General features: G+C 42.4%; 1 long non-coding RNA gene across 2 annotated transcripts; it reads left to right on the top strand.

Moving 5' to 3' along the window:
* The first annotated feature begins 636 nt into the window (after positions 1-636).
* LOC124902479 (uncharacterized) lies at positions 637-26636 on the top strand. 2 transcript variants are annotated; one of them, XR_007062238.1, is made up of 2 exons: positions 637-792; positions 26287-26636. It is a non-coding gene; the product is annotated as an uncharacterized LOC124902479 (long non-coding RNA). The 2 variants fall into 2 exon arrangements; XR_007062239.1 differs by lacking the exon at positions 637-792 and adding an exon at positions 11144-11201.
* The last annotated feature ends 34 nt before the right edge of the window (positions 26637-26670 follow it).

Here is a 26670-nt window from a genome sequence, read left to right as displayed (position 1 = left end):
CAAAGAGAGGCTGTGGCACGGGATGTTAATCAATGAAATTCTGGCACGCTTTTCTATGAACAGGGCTCGTTATTTATATTTACCAGTGACAGAGATGAGTTCTTCAACCCAGGCAATATTATCATTCATGCCTGGTTAATTAAGGAAGAAACAAATGCCTTAGGAAACTCATCCTGATATTAGAGGGAGGGAGAAGGACCTATTTTAGGTCTTGGGATATTTCATTTCCCCAAAGCCCTCCCTGTGAGTCACAGGACAGAAATTGGAGGCAGAGAAAGCAGAATAGCATAGTCGTCCAGACTAAAAAATAAGTTTTGGCTGAAAGACTGGATAATGGCATTTATGTATTCCTTGCTTGTGAGGTTCTGCAGTGCTTTCTGTTATGTATGCATGGGATGCAGCAGGCAATGCCAGCGTTTTTGTTCCTCTGAATTCCTGTCGTTGGACACTGCCAGGATTTAGGGTAGGGTCAGCCCTGGGCCATTTTAGCCCCAATAAAGGTCTGTTTTATTAAAGGCCTGCTTGTCCCTTGCCTGTTTACTGCTGCCTAATACAACACGTTCTTTATCTCTTTTTGGCTCTGCCCCAAAGAAAGCAGGGAGGCTTGTTGCTGCTTGGATTCCAGTTTCTGTCTCCAGTCTGGTCTTGTGGGGTTTAGGGGCTGGAAATGGGGAAGAGCTAGAGCACAGCATTTAGGATTGAGTTTTATACTATTCGGTACTCCAATTATGAAAACAACGATGATGATGCTTCTGACCTGCCCTGTTGGGCTGTTTCTTCCCCATCCTTTTGGTGAGTAGCTGTGCTGTGTCATTCTCATGCTCCCCTGTCCTTCTGGTGATGACGAGGCCCATGTTGGAACCTACAGAAGTGAGAAGTGAAGACTGTGACCCTGGAGGGTGTTGCACTGGGAAAACTAGCTGGTATATTGGGAATGTGAGCTATGAGTTTATCTGAATTTTAACCATGTTCTCACTAACTTATCTGGTCCTGAGGGTCACCAAGCTAACAGGCTGGGTCAACCATCAGCAGAGCCAGCTTCCTGAGCATGTGATCTACGAAGTCACACAGGCTCTGCACTTAAAAATAAAAAGCCCTCCCCCTGGTTTAAGTTCTGCTACCATCATCTGGAAATTTCTTAAGACCTTTTAAACAAAGGGTCCACATTTTCTTTTTGCACTGGCCCTTGCAAACCATGTAGCCAGTCCTGACTGTAAGATCAGATCTTCAAACAGTCCTAATACAGTCGATTGTGAAGATAGTTTAGCTTTTAGGCTTCCCCAGCAGTATTACAATTTCCAGAGGATTAAAGGAAGCACCTGAGGCAGTGAGAAGGAACACCTGCTGAATCCTGAGATCTATCTACAGTACAGGAGCCAGGCTCATTGATTCTGTCGAAAGGCAAAGTGTGATGCAGCCTTGAACATGCCCATCCCAGCAGTGCTAGGGTGCTCAGAGAAGAGGGTGATTGGCAGTGGCAGATGCAGCTGTGCGGTCAAGGAGGAGAAGCATAAAGAGGCTTTTTAATATGCCCTCAAAGAAGTAATTGGAGACCTGGAGAAACTGTAGAAGAGAAGAGTACAAGCTGGCTGGAATCCAGAGGAGAATTCCACAAGTGGAATTGGAGATAGCAAGAAAGAGACCATGTTAGAGGAATTTAGAGTGGGTGAGAGTTGGTGAGGGCTGAATATTTGTGGATGGGTAGCCTGTACCTGTCTGAAGGTCACTGGAAGGCAGTGAGGGCAGAGGGAAAAAGTGATGAAGGAGTAGGGAAGAAGAACATAGTCTGGAAAACTGACGCTGCAAAGGAGAAGTTAGAGAGGGAGTAGATATTACAAAGGATCCAGCATGTATCTGAGAGTCTCCATATCCTCACCTCTCAATTGGTAAGACTCTGAGCAGCAAAGGAGTGCGACTGAAGGAAGGCTGCTTCTGCAAATCTAGTCTGGAAACATCTGCAGCAAAATCACATATGGTGCTTATTACAAATGTATTTTCTAGATCCCATCCTGGACCTTCACTATCAGGTCCCTTGAGGACTTGGAGTTGGGAGGGCAAGAATCAGGCTTTTAAACAAGAGTTTCAAATAAATCCTGATGAAATTCAACCTTTAAAAGAAAGACGACGGAGGAATACAGCTAAGGCAGATTTTGGAGGCCTGACCATATGGCACAGTGATGCTGAGGCTGAGTGAAGAAGGAAGAGGTGTAAGCACAGGTAGCCCAGGCCTGCTAGTATGGAGGCCAGCCTAGCCTGAGATAACAGCAATGTCCCTCTGTCACAGAGGGAGGTTCCTGCCTGCAAAGTCCCCAAAGGGACTTCCTGCCAACCACATTCCTACCACCCCTTACCTTGCTGGAAGTGACTGTTTCCTGCAATCAGCAAGTGGGATAAAGAATTTCCAGTAAAGACTATGCTTCTGAAAGTTGAAGTCTGGTCTATCTTGCTTTTGTAAGATTATGCTTGCTTCTTAGATTCAGCCTCTTACACTGTTTCCCTAGCTGCCAGGTTCCTGTTCTCTTTCAAATCCTTGATTAATCCCTGATTGATGTTTCACTAATCAACTGATGATTTCTTCCAGACAGACTAGTTTTGCTCCTCTGCTGTCTGATCCTTAGAGAACTTCTCAAAGTATCAGTCATGTCATAATTTCTGAATGTTTTCAACAGCTCTCCTTCTCAAACTTGAACATGCAGACAAATCACCTGGGAAGGCACATTCTGGTTTAGTGGATGTGGGATAGGATCTGAGATTCTGCTTTTCTCATTCTAGCAAGCTCCTGGGTGATGCTCACGCTGCTGGTCCATGGACCACACTCTGAGTAGCAAGGTTTTCAAAATTTTTCCACTTGTATTAAGGGTTTGAAAGCAACATCCATTGCTTATGACAGTTGTGTTTTAAATGCAAATGTTATTTCTTTTTATTCTAGGTGGATGAATTGAGTGAATTAACTCTCTAAAACTAAAGCTTTGGAATTATGGCAATTATTTTACAATAGTAATACTTGAGGATGGAGAAGGTGGTCATTATTAAACATACATCCTAGGATTTTCTGTCAGTAAATCCTTCCACTTTTTCCTAATGGTCCTGCTCACACCATTCCTGCATTTCTCAGCTTTACACAGCAAAACTCTTGGAATGATCTATATTTATTCGGAGGTGTCTTCATTTCCACTCTCTTTTTAAGTGTCTAAAGTGGAATTCTGTTTTCACAATTTTACTGAAATTGCACATTTTAGGACATCAGCAATCTCTCAGTCACTGGATCTAATGGCTCCTCAGCCTCAATTTGCTTTTCTTCTCTAAGGTATGTGATGCTATTTGCCTTACTCTTTCTTCCCTTGGCTTCCTGACCATTAGTATATACTAATTCACCACCTGCCTCACCACAGTTAGATCTTCTTTACTATCTCCTTTTTCTGTACCCATCCCAATTGCACATGCCAAGGCAGGGACCTACATCCAGGGCTGTTCTTTGCCTACCCTCATTCTTTTGGAGATCTCATCTATTCACATGGTCTTAACTATTTGCACCAGGCAAATGTCCACCAAAGCCTCAACCTCCAGTGCTGACCTCTCCTTGCAGCTCTAGCCTTCATGTTTAATTGCCCACTCCATGTCTCCACTGTTACCTTTAAACTCTTTCTTCCACCCAATTTCCCTAGCTGTTTGTAGCAAGTATGAATTTTAATCATAAACTCAAAAGGTCAAGAAACATCACATTACTTATTTTTCTTTAAATTAATATAAATCTGACTCTGCAATCCCTTTCTCCCAAGCTGGCAGGAAGTTCAATTCATTTATCATAAGGGCAAGGCCCCATCTTTTTTTTTTTTTTTTTTTTTGAGATGGAGTCTCACTCTGTCACCCAGGCTGGTGTGCAGTGGTGCGATCTCGGCTCACTGCAACTTCCACCTCCTGGGCTCAAGTGATTCTCCTGTCTCAGCTTCCTGAGTAGCTGGGACTACAGGCGCATGCCACCATGCCTGGCTAATTTTTATATTTTTAGTAGAGACGGGGTTTCACCATGTAGGCCAGGCTGATCTTGAACTCCTGACCTCAAGTGATCTGCCCTCCTTGGCCTCCTAAAGACCTGGGATTACAGGCATGAACAAATACCAAATGCCAGATCTCCTCAAAAGGGGCATGAGGAAAATTTTTGGGGTGATAGATATGTTCACTATCTTTATTAACATGATAGTTTCTTCATTTATACCTAAATAGAGCTGTTAAAATAATTTAAAAATACTTTTGTAAAATATTTCAAAAGTGCAGATAAACAAAGGATACTATAACAAACATCCGTGTACCCACTACTAAGTTTTGACAGATCTTAACATTTTTCTACGGTTCCTTTAGATTTAAATCATTAGATATACCTGAAACTTCTATGATCCTTCCTAATCCAATTTCCTTTTTACCTCCCTTACTCCAAATGCAAGCATTATCCTGACTTTAATGATTGTGGACCTCATGCGGGTTTGAGATGCTTTGTTTGTATGCCCATAGATAATACATAGTATACTTGCATATGGTTTATATATTGGAAATCTTAACGTAAATGGTAACTTCCTCCCAAAACTTCTTCTTTATATTCAACACTGTTTTTTGAAATGTATCCATGTTTCTCTAGTTCATTCATTTAGCAGTCCATTTTGTGAATATACACAATGTATTTAAACATCCTACCCTTGGATTTTTAAGCTGTTTCCAATTTTCCAGTCTTACAAACAACTTTGCCCTTCTGCATCCTTACACCTTTTTCCTTGGGCCTATATGTGAGTATATACCTAGATGTTTTCTGGGAATCTTCAGTTTTACTAGCTAGAGCTAAATGGCTCTCCAAAGTGGATTATATTCACATAGCAGTTAGCATTTCCATTGCTCCTTATCCATACACACTTCTAAATGTGAGACATGGGAATCTTCAACTCCTCCTCCTGGGAGGACCTATCTTTAGTTTTCTCCAGGTGCACCTTACAGCCCTCCTCTCTGAATTTAGCCACCTTCCTGGAAGGCAGCTGGGAGCTGAGACGGGTGCACGCTTCTCATGGGACTCTCTTCCTAGTCTCTTCAAATCCACCTCTGCTGCCTTCTCTTCCCCTGACATTGAAAAAACTCCTTTCTCAGCTATTATTGGTCATCATTCTGGGATATCCACCACCATCCCTTGGTGAGCTTCATCTTTTAAAAAAGACAGGTAGAGCTGACAGCTCTTCAGACAAAGAAATAGGAAAGGCCTCCCTGCTTTTGTGGAATTAGTGGGGGGTTGGAGATGGGGAAGGAGTAAGATGCAATATGACATCTCAAAAACTATACTCCCCATAAAAATGGTACTTTATCACCCAGAAGCCAAACCCCATGACCCATTTATACAGTTCTGACATCCAGTCTTCCCTTTCTGTCAATTCTTCATTAAAATGCTCTTCTTAGTCTGTGCACTAACCCTATTCTAGACCTTCATCTCACAGTCAGCACCAGGCTTCCATCTTCTCTTCCCGCTCCACTCACCCTCATACTCCAATGCCTTTCTTCAAATGAGCACCAGAGTGATTTTCTTAGAAGACCACTTTGAACATTTCAGTATCTTGCTTAGAGGCTTTTAAAGCCTCCCTCTTGCCTGCAAGGTAAGGTTCAGACTTCCTAACCTGACAGTCATGACCTGTTTCAATCTGGTCCTATCTAGACTTAACTCCTTGTCCTTCCTATATGATGAACCCTCTGCTCTGGCTGGCTGGTCTCCTTCATCCTCCAAATAGCTCCATCACTTTTCAGCTGCTTCTCCTCCTTGACGGACACTTTCCTTTTTTTCAGGCTTAGACCCAGCTCCTCCTGCTCCACCCAGCTTCTATAACTCTAGACCACTGCTATCTTTTAAACTCAAGCTGTTTCTTACATCCAGGTCAAGTATTTGGGCAGTTAACCCCAGTTTGCTTTAGGACAGTTTTGTTTTCACATATGTATTTATGTTTGTCTCGGCATTTAAGGTTATTATTTTCCTAATGTATGTTACATAGATATTAGTTCCTGCAGCTGCCCAAAACAAAAAAGTTAATTGTGTTTGAATAATTTTAGAATTATTTGGGGTATGCTTTAGGAAAGACTGCATACCATACCCCTCTCTAGAAGGTTCACATTGTGTGTGAGCATAGTAAAAGATCTGAAAAGTGCTGTGCCAATTAAAACAGCTTGATTATTTTCTGATTCTTAATTACCAAGAAAATCTTTTTGTCTTATAATAATATTAATATTCCTCAGATTTTAGTGCTCCTCAGAGGAGTCTTTGGAAAGCATGGAATTAAATTAGAAACTCCTTACCCATCATTTTAATCCTACCATGGTGGCTAGCCCAGTGACTTAGTACTTAGAAGGTGCTCAGGGAATATTTGGGGATTTGGTGAATAATCACGAATGTTTTAGTCAATTACTGAGCTAAACTCTTCTAAGAGTTTCTTTCTGTGCAGTCTTTAGAATGCTGTAAAACAAATAAATAACCTTGCTTCCATTTCTTATTAAATTTATTGGCACTAGACTGTGAAACTAATGGAATTTCTGGGTCTTCTATATGCTTCTGTGTCTGCTTGAGAAAGATAATCTGTGCTTGTACACAGTGGGAACATAAAAACTTCACAGAATTTTCCACTCCCAGCACACCAGACCCAGGGTTGGCTTCTTGTCATTTAAATGCCTGCCTTGTCATTTTATTTGACTCAGAGAAATCATTCAGAGAGAAGCTCAGGAACCGTCTGGACTCCCTGAAAAGGAACTGACTCAGAACTTTTCTACAGATGAATTATATTTCTAGGTCTCATTGTTTTTCACATTTGTGGGTTTGGATGTGCTTTTACCAGCATGTTGGATAGAAAAAGTAATGGCGGTTTGAATCCGAATCTGAGATAGCAAAAGAAAAATAACTGCAATTAGTTCAACAGCTAAAATTTTGGTAGACTTACTAGTAACTCAAAAGGTTGACCTCAGAATTCAAAAGTAAGAGTAAAAATTTGAACCTAAACTTTGACCTTGGAATTCAAAAATGAAAGGAGATTTTAGAGAGGCTTGACAATAAGTTAGTGATTTTTTAAAATGTTAGTATAACTTTTTTTCTTAAAAATTTTAATGGGTTGGGAAGCTGCGGCAGGTGGATCACCTGAGGTCAGAGGTTTGAGATCAGCATGGCCAACTTGGTGAAACCCCGTCTCTGCTAAAAATACAAAAATTAGCTGGGCGTGGTGGCAAGTGCCTGTAATTGCAGCTACTCAGGAGGCTGAAGCAGGAGAATCACTTGAACCCGGGAGGCAGAGGTTGCAGTGAGCCAAGATCACGCCACTCCACTACAGCCTGGGTGACAGAGCAAGACTTCATCTCAAAAGAAAAAAAATTCATGGATTAATGTAAATATAGATATAAAAATAAATTATATACATTATATTATGCATATTACCACATTATACAATACATAATGTATTATCTATGTATTATTGTGTATATATATATATGGAAGAGTATAGAGCAAAACCTTTCCTTCCCAAGTCTGTCTCCCACCACTCAGCCCTCCCCAGAGGCATCCCTTTCTAAAAGATGCTTTTAAGCCTTCTAGAGATACACTGTGCATATCTAAGTATATGTTTATGCAATACCAAATGGCGTTATACAATTTACACTTCTTAACCTTGCTCTTAATATATATATATAGGAGAGGCGTTCTTTTCAGTAGGTATGGAGCTGCTTCTTTTTTTATTGCTTCAGTGGATGCCATTGTTTGGGTCTATTATCATTTATTTTATTTCCATATTAATGGACATTTAGATTATTTCAAATCATCTGCTATTATAAATGATGCTATAATGAATATTCTTATATACACATGTGTGTATATATATGTCCTTTCACAAGTGTGAATAAGGGTAGGTAATGAATTCTTAGATTTAGAAATGTCTAGGTCAAGGCATATATGTATTTTTTATTTTAATGGATCCTGCCAATTTGCACTCCTTAGCAGTCGTGCCAACTTAAAATTTCACCACCAATGTATGACAGTGCCAAGTTCCCAACACCTTTGCCTACACAGTGTATTATATATATGAAGTTCTTGTTAACTTTTCCTATATTATAGGTGAAAAACATTGTTTATAAATTGGATTTCTCACATGCTAAGTGAAGTCAAGCATTTTTATAGGTAGAAACCTATAATATTTCCTCTTCTGAGAATTATGCATATTCTTTGTTCATGTTCCTTTGGATGTTGTCTCATTGTTGATTCATGGGAACTCTTTATATACAGTCTGTGATACAGGTTGAAATAATTGACTTTAATTTCCAGTGCTAGTTCCTGAAAAAGACATTAGGCTATGATCTTTTCCAAAGTGACTCTCTCCTCAACCCTGACTTCTTAAAGATATACAATAGAAATGACTTCAGGGAAGATCAGTTTGCTTCCTTCTAGCTCGGCTTCATAAAAATTTTCCCAACAAAGCAAAACTAAACTTACATATCAGTACGTTCTGTATTATCTTTCCAAACTTAGCCAGTGGATTTAATGGGAATTGCTTTTCTGGGAAATGGTATCCTCCCATGACTTGTTTACATTCTAGCACAAGTAGGCTGCATACCCACCATGGCTGGTAGGATTTATTCAAATAACCTACCATTCCTTCTAGACCAGAGGTTACAAATTGGCCACCCAAGGGCCAAATGCAGCCACATATGTTTTATTTGGCCAGCCTGCTGTTTAGAAAAAAAACGAATTTGTTGCCCACATTAAAGAACAGTGGATGATTTTACAGGAATATCTAGATTTCTGACTTCTCTTGAAAAATCACAAGATCAGGAACATTGCATTTCCACATGACAACAGTTGGCTGGAGCTTGTGGGAATCTGCCCCGTTCATAAACCATGCACTTCCATACATTTTTTTAAGTTTTTTAGAAATAAAAATAGAGACGAGGTCTCACTGTATTATCCAGCTGATCTCAAACTCCTGAGCTCAAGCGATCCTCCCACCTCAGCCTCCCAAAGCATTAGGATTACAAGCATGAGCCTCTGCCACCTGGCCTCCATGTTTTGTTTTGTGGTTTTTGTTTTTGTTTTTGTTTTTTTGACACAGAGTCTCACTCTGTCACCCAGGCCAGAATACAATAGTGTGATCTTGGCTCACTGGAACCTCCACCTCCTGGGTTCAAGCGATTCTTCTGCCTCAGCCTCCTGAGTAGCTGGGATTACAGGCGCCTGCCACCATGCCTGACTAATTTTTGTATTTTTAGTAGAGATGGGTTTTCACCATGTTGTCCAGGCTGGTCTCAAACTCCTGACCTCAGGTGATCTGCCTGCTCGGCTTCCCAAAATGCTGGGAACAGGCCTGAGCCATGGTGCCCAGTCTGTTTTATGGGTTTGTTTGTTTGTTTGTTTTTTGAGACAGGCTCTCACTCTGTCACCCAGGCTGGAGTGCAGTGGCATGAACACAGCTCACTGCCACCTTGACCTCCCAGGCTCTGTTGATCCTCCCACTTCAGCCTCCCAAATAGCTGGGACCACAGACATGTGCCATCACACCTGGCTAGTTTTTGTATTTTTTGGTAGAGACAGAGTTTCACCATATTGCCCAGGCTAGTCTCAAACTCCTGGGCTCAAATGATCCTCCCGCCTTGGCCTCCCAAATTGCTGAGATCACCTCCATGTTCTTAAAGCAAGTCTGCTTTATTTATTTGTCACCTGCTGCTGGCTCCTGGAGATCTTTGCCTTTGGGAACCTCTAAGCCTTTGCTTCCAGAATTTTCCTCTGTCTCTCCCCTTCAATTACAAGAAGAAAGAAAAATCCTCCCAGGTGTCACATCTCTTTCAGACTCAGGTCTTTTCCACTTCTCTACCCCAGGCTCCTGCCCTTTCTTCTTTGAAAAGCTCGTTTCCTGCATCCCAGAGTGTTTACTTGCACTTTGTCCCATGTCCTCACACTTCCCTTTCAGCATTTTCCTTAGCAATTCAGCCTATACTTTCCAAAATAATTTGGGATGAGAAAAGTCTGCTCCACTAGGGCATGAATTTTAACACAGTTAAACAGACTCTAACAAAGTTTTGAGAAAGATGAATGAAACTTAGTTTTGAAGCTCCTTTTGGGCACTAATGAATGCTTTAACATGAAAATGTTTTCTAGGATGGAGTATATCGACCCAGGATTGGTTTGCTCCTCTTCGTCCCAATTGCCTCTCTCTTAGTTCAAGTTCTGGTCAGCTTCCACCCGAACTATGACCTCAGCCTCATAATGAATCTCCATGTTGCCAGTCTCTATTCTTCAGTTCTATTTGTGACATAATTTTTTAAAGCTTGAACATGAATCTTATCTTATCAACCCCCATTTCTCTTAACAACCTTTGATGATTCCCTGTTACCTAGAGGAGATGCCTCATACCAACAAGACTCACAAAGTCTTTTAGAATCGGGCCCTAGGACCTTATTTTCGACCCATTTGTAAACCTGGTGGCCCAACTACATCAGACTCTTCTCTATTCTCTGAGACCACCAAGAACATGATGTCCACATGCTGCTGCAAATGGTGCTCCCTTTAATTGAAATGCTGTATTTCTGCTCTTTTATCTAGCATGTCCTTATTTTTCCTTCAAAATCCAAGGCAATGTCATGTCCTCTGTGGAATCTTCCATCTTCTCCTACTTGGTTCCTCCCTCATCTGTATTTCTGTAATACTTCTCATAATTATTTAAGATGTTTTTCTCCCTCATTAGACTGTAAGCTCTTGGAGGGCATGAAGCTTATTTATCTTACAAGGATCAGTCACAGTGTCTGATATATAGTGAGTGTTCACTAAATGCTTAGTGACTGAAAGAAGAAGCCATTAACACCTTAACTCAGGGGTCCCCAACCCCCAGGCCACAGACCAGTACTGGTCCGTGACCTGTTAGGAACTGGGCCACACAGCAGGAGGTGAGTGGCAGGTGAGCTTCATCTGTATTTACAGCCACTCCTCATTGCTCGCACCACCTGAGCTTCACCTCCTGTCAGATCAGAGGTAGCATTAGATTCTTATAGGAGCACAAACCCTATTGTCAACTGTGTATGAGAGGGATTTAGGTTGCACACTACCTTGTGAGAATCTAATGCCTGATGACCTGTCACTGTCTTCCATCACCCCCAGATGGGACCGCTGAGTTGCAGGAAAACAAGCTCAGGGCTCCCACTGATTCTACGTTATGGTGAGTTGTATAATTATTTCATTATATATTATAATGTAATAATAATAGAAACAAAGTGCACAATAAATGTAATGTGCTTGAATCATCCCGAAACCATCCCCCACCCGTGAAAATTGTCTTTCATGAAACTGGTCTCTGGTGACAGAAAGGTTGGGAACTGCTGCCTTAACCCCTATGACTAGGCAGTTAGTCATTTGGTAGCTTCTAGAAAGTACGTTGTCCTCTTTTTTCAGTGAGCAGTATCTTCCTAACTGTAAACCTGATCAAGCCACTAATTTCAATTGTTTTCCACTGACCCCGATGTAAAGACATAGTCTTACATAGTTCCTCATCATGGTGTACATCATCCTTCATGATCTGTTCCTTTACCTACCATTCCAGCTTCAGTTGTTGTCATCCTCCAACTTTTCTCCAACTATACTGAAACATTTCAATGCCCTGAAGCAAACCCTACTCTCTAAGTCTGAGCCTTAGCATTTGCTCCTTGCTCTGCCTAGAAGGTCTTTCCTGCCTTTTCCTTCTCCTCCATGGCTGTACATGCAGGACAGACAGATTGAAGGAGGCCTCTCTGAGTTCTTTTGCCTTGGACTGGACTAGGCTAAGTGCTCTTCATGTCCTCCCATGGCACTTATCATGCTGTGATCTCTGTCTCTGCTGTAGTCCCAGCTCTACCCCCACTCTAAGCTCCTCTGGGACAAAAATTGTCTTTTTCACCTTTTTACCAATGATGGGTGCATAGGCTATGGCATAAACTAGATGTTCAATAAATGTCTGATGAGTAAAACATCATGATAAAGTGAAAGAAATCTGATATATACAATTTACGCAACTATGTGAATGCTTAACTCTCTCATTTGCCATTTGAAGAGATTCTTTTAAAATTAATATATGCAATAGTCAGCATAGTCAAGAAATAGAAATCCTGCTAGGTATTTCAAACAGAGGGGATTTAATACAGGGAATTTTTTCACAGATGTTGGAAGGCTGGAAGAGCAAAACAGGAAGTTGAAGCAACTGGTTATTAATACTTGTTGGAAGAAGTTATTTCCCCCAGGGCTGAGGTAAAGCAGCTACCACCCTGAGGACACTAGACAAAAAGTGAGATTACCAGAACCTAGTTGCTCAGAAGGAGAAAGGGAAAGAAATTCAACCATATTAAAGACACACATGATTGTAGGATACATCCCAATGCCAAAAATGTTAAAATGTAAAGGAAAAAAAAGACATGGTATTAACTGATAGACTGTCAAGAATATGAAAGAAATCCAGGCTGGCTAGGGGAATCTAGTACGTTTAGTCATATGAAATTGTGAATATTTTTCCATTTTGGCCTATATAAATGAGTTTCATATGTTTCAACCTAATATTTGGGGAGGCAAGAGGCTAACTGTAGAGTACCCTTGTCCTGGGCTTCTATCTCTCCGAGGTCCATTGTCCTGAGCTGTCCCTTCTCTTCATAGCTTCACCCACTCTCCTTCTGAAATTCATGGTAATAAGTTTATATGTGCTCAGGGGCTGGAGGACTTGAGGGCAGTGCAAAAACAACCATTTGAAAACATTAGTAATTTTAAAGTCAGATATTCTTAAGAAGGGGTTACATAAGTACAAAAAAGAACAAGTAGCATTTTATTGAATGTTTACAATCCTCCTCTGCCAAGTGTTTATCACATTATCATATTCATTTTATTCCCCAACAAACTCAGCTATGCAATAAGAGCTGACTCTTTTACGGTGCTTAATATGTAACAGTCATCATTTTAAGCCTGTTGACTTAAACTTGACTCATGCACTTGCTTCTCTTTATAAGCCTGTAAGGTAGGTGTTAGTTTGAATCATTTGAAATCACTGACATTCGACTGTTTTTGACCTACAAAATAGCAGTTTAAAGTAGTTCAATTTAATACAATCATTTTTGAAGAAATGACTACAGAAGAAGAAATTGAGGCATATGGCGGTTAAATAACTTTCCCAAGGTCGCGCAGCTGGTAAGTGGAGGAGCCAGGATTCAAACATAGGCAGTCTGTGCTCTAAACTATTACACCCTACTGCCTGTCCATGGGTACCATTTTATCCTCATTCACAAATGAGTGGAAACTGAGGCTTTGGACAGTTAAGTTACCTTGGCCAGAGCCCCAGAGCTGGGAAATGGTATAGCTGGCCTTCTGGGTCTAACTCCAGAGCCTCCGCTCTGCCCATGTATTATTCCACAGCCATGAATTCCCTGCAAGGAGTGCCTGGAATGGAAAGGGGGTGAATTCTCCTGGCTAATTACTCGGATATATTCATCATCCTGGTTGAGTAGATATTTGCAAAGCTATTTTATTAGATATAACTGAAAATATTGCCTCATAGATTCCCCCAACCCCACCCCAGAAAGATAACAGATATAATGCAAATAATGACATTGCAAATTACCACTGGGGTTGTCTAGACCCTTCTTCCAAAGGCCACCATCAATACATTCTGGATTCCTTTTTGGGAACTGACTTCCAAGCAACGTGCTCACATGTTGAAGATTCTCAGCATGGAAAGATTCCCCTTTCTTCTACTTCCTTTTTTATAAATCCTGGATTTATTAAGCACATCCTGTGTGACAGGCCTTGTGTTAATTGATGAGGATTCAGCAGCAAATAAAATGGACACGGCCTGCTTTCACTGTGTTTTCAGCCTATCAGGGAGGAAAGACATTATAGGAATATTAACAATAATATGTTTTGATGGAGTAATACAGGGAGCTCCGGGATCATAGAGCTGGGAGATTTAATTCAGTCTGGGGCAGTGGTACCCAAAGTGTGGCCTGCAGACCAGCACTATTGAGAATACCTTGGAGGCTGTTTAAATGCAAATTCTTGGGCCCCATCCCAGACCTACTAAATCACAATTTGGTGAAGGGGACAGAGATGGGAAGAGGGAATTTATAGTTGAAAAAGCTCTCCAGGTGATTCTCATGCATACTGAAGTGTGAGAAGCCCTGCCACCCGGGTCTGCATGGTCTAAATAGGGAAGTAACATTTACTCAGTCTGGAAGGGTGAGTAGGTCAGATGCAGGAAGGTGAGAGAAGGCTGTTCTAGCCTGAAGGGAAAGTCTGTGCCAAGATCAGGAAGTCCAAGAAAACCAGATCCATGGGAGGAGCTGGTGGTATGTGGGGAACACAGGGGTTAGAGATGAGGAGCCATAGAAGGAAAAAAGAGAAACAGAAGGTGGGAGAATGGGATCCTATGAGCTCTCATAAAAAATAAGGTGAGGAAGGAATAGTAAGATGAAGTGTAAGTGACCAAACTTACACTAATCTTATAATAACCCAGCTGTAAAAGCAACATCATAATTTAGAGAGAGTCAACATCTCTGAGGCTACTCTTAAGAGAATTAAGGACTCCATGAACATTTGCTGTTGAGCTGTGTGTGGGAAGAACTGCCAATCAGTCCTCACTCCCTTTCCCTTTCCCACAGAAGCAGACACTCTGAACCTAAATTAAACCAGTTTGAGTTAAATGAGTTCTTCCTGGTCTTTCTAGGGAGCATTTGTTAATGGGTTGCCCCAGGTGGAACCAGAGGGCTTAGTTGTCTTGCCAGGGAGAAAACAGGTGTCTCTCAATGTGAATTCAGACCACACTCTCCCTGAGACAGTCCATGTGCCTAATTTAGCAGGTCCGTGACTAAAAGGGCTGCTATGCCTGCAGCTTGAAATTAAATGGAATTGTGGCCCAAAGGAGCCACATCTATCCATGGTGATGGTATTAAAAAACAAAACAAAACAAAAAGATTTGGGTGGCAATGGGCATTTCTGATCACCCAGCAGCGCTATTTCAGACTGAAAGCAAACTTGAGGCCTTGCATGGGGAAGAAGGATGAATCCAAAGAATAAGACTTCTCCATGTAGGTAAGAATGGGGAGTCCAGGTGCTGTGGCTTTCGCCTGTAATCCCAGCACTTTGGGAGGCCAAGGTAGGAGAATGAGGAGTTCGAATTCAGCCTGGGCAGCATAGCGAGACCTTGGCTCTACGAAAAAATTAAAAAATTAGCTCAGCATGGTGGCAAGTACCTGTAGTCCCAGCTATGTGGGAGGCTGAGGCAGGAGCATTGCTTTAGCCTGGGAGAGCAAGGCTGCAGTGAGCTATAATTGTGTCACTCCACTCCAGCCTGGGCAACAGAGTGAGAGCCTGTCTTGAAAAAAAAAAAAAAAAGAAAAGAAAAAGAAAGAAAGAAAAAGAAAAGAAAAAAAAAGGGTGGGGAGGTGGACAAAAATTTAGACAATACTTAAGGTGATTGGGGAGGGGGCTCAAAGTAAACCAAGTCAGGAGTGGGAGAGAACCAGGGAGAGGAACTCACTGAGGAGAGGAGTCTAAGTTTTCAGGTACCCATACTGTGAAAACTCAAGAAAGTTAAAAGTAAGTGAGACCTCTAGCCTTACGGAATGGCATGGTCAATGTCAGAAGAGAATTGGAATGAAGGTGGGGGTCCTTACCTATAATTCCCTCTGACATTGACTTACTGTTCTGTGCTTTCATGTGTCCATGTCTACAAAGCCTAGTGTGGAGAGTGAAAAGGCAGAAAAATGGAGCACTGCCCACCTGTATCCTTATTTGATACAGAGGAGAAGTTGCACATCTTTGCGTGTCTGCACCCAGTGGATTCTGAGTGACCAACCAGTACCTTTGGAAAATAGATCCCTGGCAGATGTGGTAGAAGGAGTATTCCCGGAGGGTAAACTCTGGCTAAAAGTGTAAAACCAAACCCTTTTCTTACCCCATAGTTTGGACAAAATGCCCTCTGAAAGACAATAGGGGAGGCTGGACATTGGGGTAACAACTGATTGCCTTGCTGTTGCCTTGCCTCTCTAAGGAGAGGACACTTGGCACTCCAGGCCTTTGCAGATGCACATCTGAAAGTACAGAACACATGATCCCAGAGATCTGGGGCTTGCATAGCCACCTCCTCCTCAGTGGTCATTGACTATCCAGTTGGTCAGCACTCCTCACTGAGCTCTCAATATACCCAGAGCAGGAGGGCATCTAGACTCTGTGAAGATACAAAAGATAAAAAACAAGAAGACTTAGCTTCTTGGAGGAACCTGTGCACAGGGCCTAGTGGTTTGTGGGTGTTTTGTTTTTAATCAGTGACTTTTCCAGTGACAGTTTCCTTGATATATTTCAGAATCTGCTCATTTTGTACTGTTCTTCCCATCCCCCACAAGGAAGGAACAGATTCTTTACCCCCAAGTAGGGTTGCCAGATAAAATCCTGGACATACCATTAAATTTGAATTTTGAATAAATATCAAATAATTTTTTCATATAAGCGCGTCCCAAATATTGCAGAAAAATCAAATTACAGAGTGTCCTGTATTTTCATTTGTTAAACCCTACTCCCAAGGGATGCCTGTTTCTATTCTTGTGAGTGGTTCATTTTGGTTCTTTCTCTTAGGTTGAGATTAACTGGTGATCACTGGTTTTATTACATATGAAAACTTTCGGCACGGTCTTTACCGAAATGGAGGAAAAAAAGTGATTCTTTCTTAAGTTCTTTGGTTAGACTATTCAATAGGCACATTTTTTGTTCTTATCTAATATGGCAGTCTAGTAAGAAAATTGAGGAAAAATGCAGGATTACTAGCTCCCCATGAACCCCTTTCCTCCCTCTGCCCAAGTCTTAACTATACAGCATCACGATGTAAATGGAGGTAGACAAGGAGAGCACAGATGACACCAAAGCAATGCAATCTGAAACTATCAAAAGTTCCACTTCTCACACCACAAACTCCTTTGTTGGTTAGTTGTGAGTGGGTATTTATAGAACTAGCACTGTACTTTCATTTTGAGACAGCAGCTTGCTTTTAGCCTGAGCAATAATTAGATAAATTATTCCCTTCACTTCAGATTATTAGTGACTAAAACTCTGCCTAGAGATTTTTGAAACTTTGATCAGCATAAACTGGAAAAACAGTCACTTAAATGCTGCAAGTGATTTTCCATCTTGTAGGAGGTAGAGATATCAATAATCCTGCCAGGGTAGAGTCTCTCTTTATCAGACCCACCAGCCAGGTATCTTTTCACAAATGTAAAGCAAGTACCTACCCATTGCTTCTTGCTGGAAAAACAAAAAGAGGAAAGTATCAAGTTACCATCAAATGGGATGTTGTTCAGACTAGAAGCTCATTGTTCTGTTTGGAAATACAAACTGTGTGTTTGCTAGAGTCAGAGCTGCTTCTCTGCATACTTTTTTGGTCCTGGGGCTTGCTTTTTTGGGTCCAAGCTGAAGAATTGGATATAGAAAAGAGAAGAAAAGCATGAGATCCAAATCTCATGCTAAAGGAACTGGATGGAGTTTGGCACAGCTTAGCTCAGACTGGACCACTGCTGTCACATGCACGTTGTTATTTGAGACTGAATTACACAGAATGCACTGATGTTGGACTCTGATATGCAGTGATGTAATTGTCATGTTGAGGCCTACAGGGCAAGGCCACCCCCTAGTGGTAGGGGTTGGGATTGCTTCTTATGGAAGAAAAAATTACCACTGAATCATTCCAAGAAAAACCAATTATATCATGATTAGGTTAAACCTTAAATAGCAGTGGCTGAAATACACAAGGGTGTGCTTCTCTTTCTAAAAGGACATCTAGAAGTAGGCATTCGGAGCTATTCAGGTAGATCCTTGTTTCCCAAGGACTCAGGATTCCTTCTTCCTGCTTCATTAGCCTCAATGAATGGCTTGTTCTCAGGGTCACAGGATGGCTGCTGGAGCTCCAGCCATCATATCCACATTGAAGCCTAGAAGGAAGAAAGATGAAAGAGGAAAAATTAATAGCATGTGTGAGTGTATGTGTATTGGAGTGAGACCTCCTCACTGATTCTCCCTTTAAATAGCTTTTCTGACATTCCCCCAAACACTTCCACAGCTGGCTGAGGAATTGAGAAATGAAGCCTGTTATCTGGGCACTTTACCCTCCTAAGTAAATCAGGGTGCTTTTTACTAAGAAAGCGGGGGAATGAATGCCAGGCAGCAGTAGTAGTTTCTACCTCTCTGGGAAGCCAGCCTGAAACTAGAGGGACAGAGAAGTCTTTTCTCTCTCAAAGCCATTTGACAGCTGGGCCCAAACTTTCTGGTGGCAGACATGTGCTGGACTCTCATGTGGAGCTGGACCTGCTACTGAGAATGGCTCTGGTAGGTGTGTTTCAGGTAGCTGCTTTGCCAAAAGTTGAAATTACCTTTGAGGCTGAGCTTTCCTTCCATTATCCATAAGCCTTTGAAGAAGTTTTGTTAATTGTCTGGTGGTGATATGGTTCGGCTGTGTCCCCATGCAAATCTCTATCTTGAATTATAGCTCCCATAATCCCCACATGTTGTGAGAGGAACTAGGTGGGAGGTAATTGAATCATGGGGGTGAGTTTTCTCGTGCTGTTCTCATGATAGTGAATAAGTCTCATAAGATCTGATGGTTTTACAAAGGGGAGTTCCCCTGCACATGCTCTCTTGCCTGCTGCCATGTCAGACGTGACTTTGCTCCTCATTCAACTTCTGCCATGATTGTGAGGCCTCCCCAGCCATGTGGGACTGTGAGTCCATTAAACCTCCTTTTCTTTATAAATTACCCAGTCTTGGGTATTTTATTAGCAGTGTGAGAACAGACTAATACAATAAATTGGTGCTGCAGAAAGTGGGGAGCTGCTGTAAAGATACCCAAAAATGTGGAAGCAACTTTGGAACTGGGTAATGGGCAGAGGTTGGAACAGTTGGGGCTCAGAAGAAGGTAGAAAAATGTGGGAATGTTTGGAATTTCCTAGAGACTTGGAGGGCTCAGAAGATAGGAAGATGTGGGAAAGTTTGGAACTTCCTAGGGACTTGTTGAATGGCTTTGACCAAAATGCTGACAGTGATAGGGACAATAAAGTCTGGGCTGAGGTGGTCTCAGATGGAGATGAGGAGCTTGTTGGGAACTGGAGTAAAGGTCGTTCTTGCTATGCAAAGAGACTGGTGGCATTTTGCCCCTGCCCTAGAGATCTGTGGAACTTTGAACTTCAGAGAGATAACGTGGGGTATCTGGTGGAAGAAATTTCTAAGCAACAAAGCATTCAAGAGGTGGCAGGGCATAAAAGTTCGAAAATTTTGCAGCCTGATGATGCAGTAGAAAAGAAAAAACCATTTTCTAGGGAGAAATTCAAGCTAGCTACAGAAATTTGCAGAAGTAACAAGGAGCCAAATGCTATTCGCTAAGACAGGGGAAAATGTATCCAGGGCATGTCAGAGAACTTCATGGCAGCCCCTCCCATCACAGGCCTGGAGGCCTAATCAGAAAAAATGGTTTTGTGGGCTGGGCCCAGGGCCCTTCTGCTGTGTGCAGTCAAGGGTCTTGGTGCTCTGTGTCCTAGCTGCTCCAGCCATGGCTGAAAGAGGCCAAGGTACAGCTCGGGCCATGGCTTCAAAGGGTGCAAGCCCCAAGCCTTGGCAGCTTTCATGTGGAGCTTGTCCTGTGGGTGTGCAAATGACAAGAGTTGAGGTTTGGGAACCTCTGCCTAGATTTCAGAGGATGTATAGAAACACCTGGATGTCCAGGCAGAGGTGTGCTACAGGGGCAGAGCCCTGATGGAGAACCTCTGCTAGGGCAGTGCAGAAGGGAAATGTGGGGTTGGAGCCCCCACCCAGAGTCCCCACTGGGGCACTGCCTAGTGGAGCTATGAGAAGAGGACCACTGTCCTCCAGACCCTAGAATGGCGGATCCACTGACAGCTTACACTGTGAGCCTGGAAAAGCTATAGACACTCAATGCTAGCTCATAAAAGCAGCCAGGAGCGGGGCTGTACCCTGCAAAGCCACAGGAACAGAGCTGCCCAAGATCATGGGAGCCCACCTCTTTCATCAGCGTGACCTGGATGTGAGACATGAAGTCAAAGGAGATAATTTCCGAGATTTAAGATTTGGCTGCCCCACTGGATTTTGGACTTGCATGGGGCCTATAGCCCCTTTGTTTTTGTCAATTTCTCCCATTTGGAATGGGGGTATTTACCCAATGCCTGTACCCCATTGTATCTAGGAAGTAACTAACTTGCTTTTGATTTTACAGGCTCGTAGGCAGAAGGGATTTGCCTTTTCTTAGATGAGACTTTGGACTGTGGACTTTTGAGTTAATGGTGACATGAGTTAAGACTTTGGAAGACTATTGGGAAGGCATGGTTGGTTTTGAAATGTGAGCACATGAGATTTTGGAGGAGCCAGGGGTGGAATGATATGGTTTGGCTGTCTCCCCACCAAAATCTCATCTTGAATTGTAGCTCCTATAATCCCCACATGTTGTAGGAGGAACCTGGTGGGAAGTAATTGAATCATGGGGGCGGATTTTCCTGTGCTGTTCTCATGGTAGTGAATAAGTCTTATGAGATCTGATGGTTTTATAAAGGGCAATTCCCCTGCACACACACTTTTGACTGCCATCATATAAGATGTGCCTTTGCTCCTCCATCACCTTCTGCCATGATTGTGAGGCCTCCCCAGCCATGTGAAACTGTGAGTCCATTAAATCTCTTTTTCTTTATACATTACCCAGTCTTGGGTATGTCTTTATTAGCAATGTGAGAACAGACTAATACAGTGGAGCTCTGGAAAGTTGATGTAGGGGGTAGGTAAGCATGTCTGGAACTCAGTGTAGGAGGGCTATGTCTCCTTCCCCAAAGCTAGAAGGGTGGCATCTGTTGCCTAACAGAGATTGGCCAGGGAGAGTTGCTGGAGGTTATCAGAGCTCCCTGGGGTGTTTGGCTGAGGCAGTGGCTTGGCAGCTTGAGGAGGGGCCCTGAGCAAAAACACGTGAGCAGGTCAGACATGTTTCCAAACACACTTAGGATGAGCAACCTGGTTTGCTTTGGACTGAGAGGTTCTTGGACCCCAGAACATTCAGTGGTAAAACCAGGAAAGTCCTGGACAAGCTGGGATGAGTTGGTCGTCTTAATAATACACATAAGAAAGCATCTTATAGGGATCTTTAGAATTGCCTTAGGGGCCAAGGACTAAGTGCCTGCCATGTGGCAGCTGGCAGCTCAGAGTCACTGCAATCTTATTTTTACTGGTATGCAATGTGGGAAATTTATTTTGATGATGCCTAAAGTTTCTGATTTCGCAAACTATATGTCTCAGAAATAAACTGTGTCTGCATTGGATAAGAGAAGAGCAACAATTTAAAAGGCCAGAATAAAAATGGCAATAAGTAAACGAAATAAAGTGGAAATGTCCAAGTCCCATGACACTGCATACAGACCTACCACCCAGAACTCAGCTTGTGCCTTCTCTCCAAGCTCGTCTCCTACCACCACCCTCCTGTGTGACTCCCTCTTCTACTGCTACAACAGAATGCTACAGACTGGGGTAATTTATAAAGAAAAGAGATTTGTTTGGCCCAGACTTCTGGAGGCTGGGAATCCAAGATTGAATAGCCACATCTGGTGAGGGTTTTCTTGTTCCATCATAACATGGTGGAAAGCACCCCATGGCTAGGAAGTGTACACACAAGATGACACAGGAAATTGGGCCAAACTCATCCTTTTATCACGAACACACTCTCTCATTAACTAAGCGACTCTCTTGATAATGGCATTAGTCTATTCATGAGGGCAGAGCCTTCATGACCTCATCACCTTTTAAAGGTCCCATTGTGATACCATCACAATGGCAATTAAATTTCAACATGAGTTTTGAAGGGGACATTCAAACAATAGCACCTGGCAAACATCACCTTGCCAGCCCTGTCATGTCCTGAATGCATTATGCTATTATGCACATCTCTGCCTGGAATGCCTTTCCCTCCTTCATGAACCTGGTGAACCCCGACTGTTCCCTCTAATTTGCAGCTTAAGAGTCATTTCTGTGGAGGCTTCTCTGGCCCTCCCCAGGCAAAGCTTAGTACCACCTCCCTTCAGCTGCCTGTGCACCCTGGCGTGTCTCACGACACTGCATCCCAATGGCAGGCTTGGAAATGGTCTGCCTCTTTCATGGATCAATTAGCTCCCTAAACCTAGGAAGTCCTTACCTTGTAGCAGAACTTCAGGAACACGGTATATATAATAGACACTTACTAGCGTTAGTTAAGAGTCCATCAGTGTGTGTGTGTGTGTGTGTGTGTGTGTACATATTTACATTTATATTTATTGGCTCTTTTCTATTCAGGGCATCAGAATGCTGACTGAAATTCTCAATTGGATCTACTCTGTTCAGATTCACGTGTTAAAATACACAAATGATTCATTTAACCTGAGACTTTATAAATACACAAGAAAAAATTCATTAGAAATGTTATCCTCATAATAACTAAAACTTACAAACCCAAGAAAAGAATTCATTAGAGATATTATTATTGAAAATAACCAAATCTGTGATGTGGGATGAACTGTTATTTTTCCCCAACAGTTAAACCTAAGAAGATATATATGAAAAATAACTAATATTTCAGAGTATGTTCAGATACTAACTTTTCATTGCTTCTCACTCTGGAATTAGAAAAGTATTTAAATGAACATGACTGATGCATTAGAAAAGACAGAATAAGTTAGGCTTTGTTAAGAAAATAAAACCAAAAACAAAACCCAAAGCTCAGAGATTTAACAGAGTGAAGGCTTATTTTCTCCTCCCTGCTGATGGGACCACTTTACACATATTGCCCTCAAGGGCACCATGACAAGAGGAGAGCCCAGGATGATCCCACAGGCAAGTTCCCTTCCCATTGGCCAGAGCCCTGTCACATGGCCCCAACCTACCCAGTAAGAAATGCAGAGCAGCCCATGGCCAATGAGTTGAGAGTCACAGTGCCCCAGGGAAGGAGATTCTGACCTGGAGATTAGCACACAACTCATCTACTAGAGAGTGCTGTCGGAGATATAGCTATGGAAGGGAGGGAAAGGAAGCAGGATTGGGCAGAGGGAGAGGTCAAGCCTCAGGGTCATCTCAGGGGTCTTAGCTGCTATTGTGGGGAGTTCTGAAGATGAGATAACTTCAGGGCTATTCTGAGTTGGGACAAAAGGGCTAGACCTTGGTATCCCTAAGTTGGTCGGTCAGTCATTGGAAACGATGTGACCCTGAGTGAGGCAGCTCAACTAAAGCAATTTCAGAAGGGATTCACACCTGAGGGCTAAGCACCAGCAGCTGGGGAGTAAGTCCTGCTCACACCCCTGATGGAGGATCAGGGAGGCTCTTCTCAGCACTCCACAGTGCGCATGACAGTGTCTTCCGAGCAGATAGCTCTGAACAGATTACATCTGAATGTGGCCACGTATGAATCCTCTTTCATCATTCTGACATCAATTGCTGGACTTGGCCTGTGAACCACACCAGTTGTCTTGCTAGCAGTTCCACTACGCTCAGGCTTAAAGGACCTTCTTTATCCCTAGCTGCTGTAGCTGTCCCTACTGACTACTGCACAGACTCAGGCACTGCTGAGCTCCAAAACAAAACAAAATGTTCCGCAAAATTCCTGCTGGCCACTTGGTCAAAGGATGGTCTCTCTTCATCCGTCTTTGCTGAGCTCACTATAAATCATGGATATCTGTCTCTCTTTGAGCTGTCTCTGGCTACGATGGGCCAGGACCCTTCAGAGAGCCTCTTTCAGGTTGGACTTCCTAATCAGCATCGTGGAACATCCACTCCTCCAGTAATAGAAACCATATTTGATTTTTCTGTTTAACCATTTCATGACCACTACACACCAGTTACACTGGAAACAGTGTAACTCTGTTGAGAATCACCTGTGCAACTTCAGCATTTGTTTACTGGGTCTCCAGTAGCAGAGGATGTTGAGCTCAATCCTCATGTTCAAGAGGATGCTACTAGGGCCTCACTTTTACTTGGTCTAACCACATGCTTTTTGTGGAGGCAATAATAATATGACTGGCATTTACGGCAAAGCGTTTTATACATGATAACTTAATTTTCACAACTACTCTATGCAGAAGCACTATTTCCTGATTTACATTTAAGAAAGTCAAGGCATAGATAGCTTAAGAGACTTCCCCAAGGTCACATGAGGCATAAATGGGGGAATTAGTATTTTAACCCGGGTAGTCTTACTACAAAGTTCTGGCTCATAATTACCATGTTATACAGCTTGTCAATCAATATCCAGGGCTTCTTAAAACTCAGGGATTGATGTGTCCATGGATGCAGGCCCATAAGTCAGCAATGCGTATTTCTATGGAATCCCTCATAAGGGTCATTTAATGCTTTAAATCTAAACCCTGCATGGAAAACCCAATAGGGAACTAAGCCCTAGCTGGGAACTCCCCTTGTGTGCCAGAAAATAGAAATGAGTAAATTTAGAGAGGGAGATTCCCCATTAAAAAAATGACATGCAAATTCGTGAGGCATTCCATATTTTTAAAAAATGGAGATATGTATTAAAATATAAATTTATAGAATTTAGTATTTTTAGCATGGGGCAACTTATGACTAGCTTTTGTGAATGTGTATTGTTGTACCATAAGGCAATAAGGTAGTAAAATACATTTAGACTTGGAGGAGAGACAGCAACCACTCTTTGTGGGGAGGGTGGGACAAGAAGATGGAACTGTCCCCTACCAGCATTGAGTAGGGGACAGCTCGTTTCTCTCCCGGCACAGACAGGTAGCTATATCCCTGTCCACCCCCATTTGCAAAGGAAGCCTAACTGTCTACACAGTCTCTGGCATCCTCTATGTTCAATTATCTGGTGAGAACGGGGAGACGCTTTATAAACCTGTTCTATATGCTGGACAAACCGCTCCTTTGTCTTTCGGCGTAACAGTCTGATGGACTTTCTCCACACCACATTACCTGGGGAATGGGGCTAGAAGGAAGTTTTGTGCCATGTTGCTCTGATAGGAACGCTAACCTGTCACATTGGCCCCAGTGTTAGGATACAAATAGCCCAAATGAGGCCATCCACCAAGCTTAGCAAGCCTTGCGTGGTGATAAAATGTGCTTGCAACAGGCAATATCTGGGGGCGATTTGGGCCTGACAGCTCAGCCTCCAAACCACATTTTGCATGTGTCAGGAAAATGAACACCATGTCCACTCCACGTGGTTTTAGCAATTAGACCTTTATTAATACCATGGAGCAGCTGGAACTAGAAATAGTCTCAAGTGCTTACATTCTCTGAACATACCAATTTCCAGAGTGGGTGGCAGCTGTTGAGGCCCAGGTTTATCCATCTTGGGCCAAAATTCTCATACTCTTGACCCCATGTATTGGACCTGGATTTTGTGGCTCCCCAAAAACATGGCTACAAAGCTTTGTTCTGAAAAATCAAAGCCTCCTCATTAAAGTAAGCATCTTCTCCCCCTAATCCTTTGTCCCCTCCATTGTCATTAGTTCAGATTTTAGAAAAGAACTACTCTTCCTGTACTTGGGGTTTTGTTTCTCCCCAAGTGGGAGAGTTACTGGTTCATAACGCTCTTACACCTGTCCCCTACCCAAGGCTTCTCCCTGTAACCTTGGGCCAGGCCGGACTTGACGAGAAGACAAGAATTGATCTAATCCAATTGCCTTTCCAGTGAAACAGGCTCCGTTTCCCCAGGCATCACTTACTTATGGGATGGCCGATTTCCATGCCAGGACAGCTCTGGGTATTTTGACGTTCTTTCTTGTATTCCACTTAGATCTACTCCCTTAATCTGGCCCCATCAGTTCTGTCTCATGTTATGTTCACTGAACTTAATGAAACATTGATTTTCAAGCAGACAGTTTTCTTGAGTGTACTGGTCATATGTAATCTTCATTTCCAACCACACATTTCCTCATGTTGCTCCAGGGAAAGAAGGGAAAGGGCTATTGAAATTAACTACTTCTCTCTAGTCAAGGATAAAGGCCAATTTATCCTTCAAGAATGAAGTCCAATGCTACCTTCTCCAGAAAAATAAGGTATTTATTTTCTCTATTTCTATGAATTTTGTCATATTAGGTATACTTGTGGGTTAAATTGTTTCCTTCCATAAAAGATATGTTAGTGTTCTAACTCCCAGTGCCCCAGAATGCAGCCTTATCTGGAGATGGAGTCTGTACGGATGTAATCAAGTTAAAATGAGGTCATCAGGACAGGCCCTAATTCAATGTGATTGGTGTCCTTCTAAACAGGAGAAATTTGGATACAGAGACAGATGCACACAGAGGGAAGATGATGGGAAGGGACACGGGGAGAAGATGGTCATCCCCATGCCAAGGAAGGAGGCCTGGAACAAATTCCCCTTCACAGCACTCAGAAGAAACCAGCCCTGCTGACACTTCGAGTTCAGACTTTTAGCTTCCAGAACTGTGAGACTATACGGTTTTGTTGTTTAAGACCCCCGGTTTGTAGTACTTTGTTACAGCAGTCCTAGCCAATGAATACAGGTATATTATGAGGACTTTAGTCTTTTACTTCTTTTTTCTTTACAAGTTTTTTAAATAGAAAAGTAGAAGTAAGAAAATAAAGCAGAAAAAAATGATGTTCAGTGTCCCTGTTGTGAAAACTCCTGCTGA

Source organism: Homo sapiens, chromosome 10 (genome assembly GCF_000001405.40).
Source record: "Homo sapiens chromosome 10, GRCh38.p14 Primary Assembly".
Taxonomy (NCBI): domain Eukaryota; kingdom Metazoa; phylum Chordata; class Mammalia; order Primates; family Hominidae; genus Homo; species Homo sapiens.
This window is presented reverse-complemented; position numbering and strand designations above follow the sequence as displayed.